Source organism: Homo sapiens, chromosome 14, assembly GCF_000001405.40.
Source record: "Homo sapiens chromosome 14, GRCh38.p14 Primary Assembly".
In the NCBI taxonomy this organism is placed as follows: Eukaryota; Metazoa; Chordata; class Mammalia; order Primates; family Hominidae; genus Homo; species Homo sapiens.
In genome coordinates this window covers 96,099,641-96,106,950 of record NC_000014.9, presented here as the reverse complement: position 1 = coordinate 96,106,950, position 7,310 = coordinate 96,099,641, and positions in this window count along the sequence as shown.

The window sequence follows — 7,310 nt, the reverse complement described above, 5'->3', positions numbered from 1 at the left end:
AAATATCAGCAAATATCCTGGCCCAGACTAGGAACATCACCCAGCTGACCAACGGAATTATGAGCTAAAAAAATGATTGTGGCTATAAGTGACTACATTTTGGAGTGTTTTGTTTTTAAGCCCAGCAAAAGCTAAGTGGTAGCTGTATTATCTGTCCATCTGGCTGTTGTGTGTCTATATTGTAAATGGCAAAGATCTTGGCAGACATGAGGGATTTTGTCTTTCTTGTTAAACTGGAAGATGACCTCTGAGTTGCTGTTGAGGGGTACAACATCAGAACTGCCCTACGGCCTTGTTTTTTCTTTTCCTTTCAATATTTAATTATGTGAATGAAAAAATTATACAGATAACCTGTGTACATGTTCTCTGTGCAAAAACCCGAGTCAAGGCTCTTTTGACCATGTCCACCTCCCAGTCCTCTCCCCAGGGTAATCCTGGGTCCCACTTTCTCCCTGTGCATTTCTATCTGTGGACGCACAGACACTGCAAAGCAGAGTTTTCCATCTTCTAAATGGCATTACGTCAATATTTTTCAACCATTTGCACTTTTGCCCAGTGATTACATTTTGGAGAACCTTTATCTAGATGAGGGCAGCCTCTCCGCTGATGTGTGTCAGCTCTCCCGCCCTAGGCCTGGCACACAGCACACTCTCAATGAGTTGTTGCTGAGGGAACGCCTGAAAGAAAGAACGCACGTGGGCAGTGACATTGTCATCCCGCCCAGCTTGCAGCCTGCTCTGGCACAGCCTCCTTACGGTCTCCACACCCATGACTCCGAGGTGAGTCCTGGTGGCCCCGCCTAGAGCTCCAGGGAGGACTACCCCGCACATGGCCCTGGCATCTCACAGGAGGATGGGAAGAGGAACTTTGAAGGCCATGGTCATTGCCATGGACACGAAGCTTACTCTGCTTGCACAGAGTAAGCGGGGGGGCGGGGGGATAGGCTTCAGTAATTTGGGGGAGGGGTGTCTGAGGTGGGGGCAGCTCCCTTTTGGAGGATCAAAGTGCATGCGCTCCAGCCTCCTCCTCTGTGCTCCAGAGCCTTGCCCAGGTCTCAGAGGGGAGGGCGGGTTTCTCAGCTGCTCTGGTTTATATCCACACACAGATGGGGCCTTGTGTGAAGTCTCAGTACAGACGGTTTCTGGGGCAAGGCTCTGTCTAAGAGATCTGAAAAACGGGAGCCTGAAGTCCCAGGAGCTCCCGGTGCGTCCCCGCTGCTCGTTGCTCTCCAGCCCATTAGACTCACCTACCAGCCAGATCAGGCCATTCCTCACCGCACAGCTAAATGCCAAGCAGCCTGTCTTCTGCCTGGAGCGCATTTTCTGTAACATCAGTCACATTGTGGGCTAGGAGTCCGAAGGACACAGGTGACTTGGGGATTCTCCTCCTGCCTTTCTTTCTTTCTTCCTTCCTCCCCTCCATCCTCCAAACATGATATTTTGAGGTGCAGTGATAAGCCAGGCAGTGTGGCAGGCACTGAGGATTTCAGGGACCTGAGTCAAGTAGAAGGGTCCCTGCCCTCCTGGAGCTTACGATCTAGTTGGGGACAAATATGTAGCTGGAAGGTAGTGAAGGCCTATGAGAAAGACACAGGAGCAGTGACCCCAACAAAGTGGGTTGGTCCGGGCCCCAGGGCAGGGCGAGCCATGGCAAACCAGAGGAAGAAGATGCTGGGTGGGGGGTCAGCATGGGGCGGGCCCTGAGACCAGGCAGAATCTAAAGAGAACAAGGCCGTCCTGTACTGGGGAGCAGGATCAAGTACCATGGGGCAGGCTCTCTCCACACTGACAGCTGAGTAGGGTGACCAACCCTCTCAGATTGCCCAGGACCTAAGGGCTTCCCTGGACACGGGGCTTTCAGTGCTAAAACCAGGAAAGTCCTGGGCAAACAGGGATGAGTTGGTCACCCTGGGGCTGGGTCACTGGGCGAAGCCTCCCAGAGGAGAGACGAGCTGTAGCTGGGCCCGGAATGTGGTGCGGGCTGAAGCAGCCCAGGGAAAGGCTGTGGGCGGGGTGACTGCATCCCTGCCTGGTTTATTACTGCAGGGAATGATCTGGCCAGCTGGCCACCCACTACCAGCCCGAGATGAACTTTTGCTTTCACCGCTGGCTGCACTCGAAACCAATGACGCAAGCCGAGGCATGTAAATAATGACTTCACGGCCACCTGGCCTGCCTCCCGTGGTTGGGCAAGTCTGGAAGGGGCCGAGGATGCAATGACTGTAATCTCCACCATATGGTCTCCTTCCCTTCCTCACGTGGTCAGAGGTCACTCCTCGTTTCCCCCAGGAGGTTCCTGGGGCCGGAAAGAGGCAGGAGGTGGATAGGGGCAGAGGTTCGGAAGCCCCAGTATTGACCGAGTGGCAGTGGCTCCCACTTACTGAGCTCCAAGCTGTGCCCCAGGGACCGGATGCTTAGAGGCCTCATCTCAGTTCATCCCTACAGTGATCCTCTAGGGGAGGTGCTTGTGGTAGAGTTTCCTACATCTGCTGTCACCAATGACTGCAAATTTAGTGCTTAAAACAACATCAATTTAGTACCTTATAGTTCTGATACTAGAAGTCCAAAATTAGTCTCACTAGGCTAAAGTCAAGGTGTTGGTGGGGCTGGGTCTTTCTGGAGGCTCCAGGGGAAAATCTGTTTCCTTGCCTTTTCTGGCTTGGAAAGGCAGCCTACACCCCCGGGCTTGTGGCCCCTTCCTTGCGTTACTCCAACCTCTGGCTTCCTTTGTCACATTCTGAGAGCTCACTCTGACCCCCTGCTCCCTCTCATGGGGACCCTTGTGATGACATTGGGCCCACCTGGATAATGCAGGATGGTCTCCCATCTCAAGATCCTGACTTAGTCACATCTTCAGAGTCCCTTTTGCCATCTAAGGAAACATATTCATGGGTTCAAGGGGTATCTTTGGAGGGCCTTCATCAGCCTAGCACAGTGCTACTCTTGCTCCCATTTTACTGATGAGGAAACTGAGGCTCAGATAATGTGTGTCTCTTGCCCAAGGTCAGAGCCAGGATGGATATCCAGCCCAGCCCCTGGAGGGCAACCACATTAGCTCATATGCCTCATGGGTTCTTTTATGAAAACTAAGAGGAGGTGTTTGTCCTCTGGGCACAGGTGGCCCACACTGGGTACACAGCTTGGTGAGTGGCACAATCTGCACGTCAGCCCCTGGATGCCCCTGGGCCAGATGCCTCTGTGTAGTGACAACCTGTCACTGTGCAGCCATATGTGGCTTCCAAGGCTGCTTCCGTCTGTCTCTGTTAACCCAAGGGCTAATGATAAGTGACCTACTTGGGGTAAAGATGGGATGATAGGACAAATGATTGTGGGGCTGCCTTCTCTGTGCCAGCTGTGTACCGAACTGCTTCCTCCTAAGCTCCGTAGGGGCAGCTGCCCCCAAAGATGACAAAAGGGAAGGTGAAGAAGTGAGACTTTCCTGCTGGACTAGCCAGGTGACCTTGCCTGGTCTTTAGGAAGGGCTAATTCTCAGAATTACCTTCTCTGGTGAGGTTGGCAAACGTTTTCTATAGAGGGCCAGACAGTAATTATTTTTTACTTTGCTGGCTATATGGCCTCTGTTGCAACGACTCAGCTCCTATTGCAGTACTTAAACAGCTATGGACAAGGACTAAACTCATGGGTGTAGCTGTGTTTCCAATAAAACTTTATTTATAAAAACAGGCAGTGGGCCAGACTTGGCCTCTCCTTAGTGCACTTTCCTCTCTCTTGCCTCCTCCCAAATACTAAACAAGGAGAAAGGTGCTCCCTAAAGAACTCTAAGGCAGATGAGGCCCTGCCCAACTCTTCCAACCATGAGGGAATGGGTGTTAGTGGGAGGTGGGCTGCTCTGTTGAGCAGTGAGCCCCCACAGTGGCAATCATTGCTAGGGTCTGTGAGCACACACTGTGAGTAAGGCCTGCTGCTGACATCATCTCCTTAAATCCATAGGATGTTCCTCCATTGTACTCCCAGGAAACAGAATCGTAATCCCTCACCTCCCATCCCCCACCACCATAGCCAATACAAAGGTGGGGGCAGGGTGACTTTGATGGGATTTCATAAATATTCACAGAACTAGAACCAGTCTGAAATTAATAGCCTGGCTAATAATTTCATCCCCTCTATCCCTCTCCCAACTGTTATTCTTTAAGTCTAGGGTTGCAAACACAACACCTACAGGGCCAGACAGGCAAGATGAAGCTAAAGCCAGCTGCTATAGAACAACCTGGAGTTTCAGGGAGGCTTCCATTAACTCATGCTGGTCCAGGGCTACTGCACAAATGCAGGACAACATGCCATTTGTCGAAACGTTTTAAAGATATGATTCAGCTAATGAATTGTGAGCAAAATATGCTCTCTCCTTTTACCTGGACAGATGCACCTTTGCACCCTAGAAGGAAGGCTGGGTTTGAATATAGCCTTCTGGGAATCTGTGATGGTGACTTTTATGTCAACTTGGCTAAGCTATGGTGGCCCAGTTATTTGGTCAAACCCAGCCTAGCTGGTGCTGTGCAAGTATATTTTAGATGTGATTGACATTTAAGTTACTAGACTTTGAGTTAAGTAGATGACCTTCCATCATGTGGCTGGGCCTCATCTAATCTGTTGAAGGCCTCAGGGGATAGACTTTCCCCCAGGAGGAAGGAATTCTCAAGACTGAAGCACAAAAACTTTGCCTGAGATTCCAGGCAATTGCCCTGTGGAATGTGGACCTAAGACAGCAATATCTGGCCTACCAGCCTGCCCTACAAATTTCAGCCAGCCCTACTTGCCAGGACCCATAATTGCACAAACTAATTCCTTATTCCTTAAAATAAATCTCTCTCTCTCCCCCAACCCCACGCATACACACACACACACACACACACACACACACACACACACACACACACACACACTATATTGGTCTGTTTCTCTTGTGAACTCTAGTAGTGGCTTTTTAGGGTGCTGTGCTGGGGTGTGGAGCCCAGGACAGTGGGCCTGGCCCCAGGTCTGCCCCCCTTGTCTTCCCATCCACAGCTTGAACATCACTTATTTACTTATTTATTTACAGACGGAGTTTCATTCTTGTTGCCCAGGCTGGAGTGCAATGGCGCAATCTTGGCTCACTGCAACCTCCACCTCCCGGGTTCAAGCGATTCTCCTGCCTCAGCTTCCTGAGTAGCTGGGATTACAGGCATGTGCCACCACCATGTGCTGGCTAATTTGTATTTTTAGTAGAGACGGGGTTTCTCCATGTTGGCCAGGCTGGTCTCAAATTCCCGACCTCAGATGATCCACCCACCTCGGCCTCCCAAAGTGCTGGGATTACAGGTGTGAGCCACCGCGCCCGGCCAGCTGGAACATCTTGGACATGCCCTTTCCTCATGTCACAGACAGCTGCTCCTGAACCATGGCAGTCAGCTCTCAAAAATACAAACACAGACAGAATTCTGGGGTCCTGAGTACAGAAGTGTGATCTAGAAGGGGGAGGACAGAGCCAGGTGGACATGTCTTCTGGCCTTTGGAGTCCTTGCCTTGTGGGGAAGGACCATGTAAGAGGAGGACAGGGAGGGCCTTTAAAACAGAGGGCACAGGGCAGGCTCCCCTCTTCCCTGGGCTAGGGGGCCGGGCATGAACTGCTGTTCCAAGCACGGGCAGGCAGCCGCTGTGTGAATCTTTCCATTTTCTCCAGAAAAAACAGAAATCCAAATTTTCTGTTACTGTTATTGTTGGCAACCAATTTAAGTGAGTTTCACAACAAGGTGCAGGCTGAAGACGTTTCTGAGAATGTTCCGCTTGTTGGCCCCATTTCTGGATTTATGGAGTATGAGGACGTCGTCAAAATTTGTTGAACGGTATACACAGTTTTCTTTCTGTATGTTGTACTTCAATGCAAAGCTTTATTCAAACAAATCAGAGCCATGCCCAGTTCCATCAGAGGAGGTCTGAGGACCGGGTTCGGCCTGTTCACCTGTCTGGCTTCTGGCTTAGAAGGTTTGCTTGGCATTTATTTTGGGGGTGGGGCAGGGTGATCCCAGGGAGTTATCAGTTAATTTCCTCTCTGGGACCTCGTGGTTTGTGGGTTATTTCTCGTATGGGAACATGAGTTCCTGAAAGGTACTGGGGGGAATCTCAGAGCTTCTTCTGTTTTTCTTTGCAGCCACCAGCGGGCGACAACCCACTGACCCCAGAGGCTGCCGGGGTCTGTTCCCATCCCTAATACCACACTGACCCCTGCTGGTCCTGGCTCACTGCATTTTTCCATCCGACTGATTTTCTAGGCCCAGTAACTCGTAATTGCCCCGGAGGCAAATTTTGGGAATAAATTAAATGTTTTGGAGTTTCTTGGGCAAGGCAGGATTTTGAATGTTCCTCCAGGGAGTCAAAAATTGAGCGTCAGCACAGGTGCAGACAAACAATACTCCTTGAAGGAGGAGAGTCCAGGTAGGGAGGAGGGGAGCATAGGGAGGGAGGAGGGAGGTAGGGAGGAGGGAGGTAGGGAGGAGGGTAGTGTAGGTAAGGGAGAAGGGAGGGCATCTCGGCCGTGCCACGAGCTCCTCTGAAGGCAGCCCCAGCTCACACGACCCCCTGATGCTGCAGGCCTATGCGTGTAAGGGAGCCCGGGTGCTCACGGCTCTGAGCGGCCCACCAAGGATTCCGCCTCTGATCCAGCTTCTAGCAGCACTTGGAGCCAGCCAGTAGGAGTCACATGGGGCCATCACACAGCCACGTGCCTGTGACTGACTGGTCATCCGTCACATGGTGTTTTCATGTTCACATTTGCCCAGTAGTGTTCTTGTCCCCTCCCCCAAACAAAAGGAACCCTAAGCACACTGCAAGGTGGGGAAACCTTGAATGGATATAAGAAAACCTTCGTCAGTGGCTTCATAACAAGTACCTTTTTCTTTTTTTTTTTCTTTTTTTGCAAATTTGACTCTACAAAAGCACATTATCACAATATTGACATTTTGTATAAGTATTGCCCACGTACGTACGAACATTGAAACTTCCTCAGTAAATGGAGAGATGTCCTTTTTGTACATCTGCACGTATGAAGAATGAAATTTCTCGGGATCTCGGCTCTTTGGTCACCATCATGGTGACCCATCACAGTTTTCGACAGAAAGTCTCAAAATACTTAGTTTGTTCATTGCAGTATCTCAGACGACTGCAGTTAGTGAGCCAGCCATTGTAGTATGTGTTTATACATTTCCCTTTTTCACCAGTTTCATTTCTTTCCTTTTTTTTATTTTTTTAAAATTACACTTTAAGTTCTAGGGTACATGTGCCCAATGTGCAGGTTTGTTACATATGTACACATGTGCC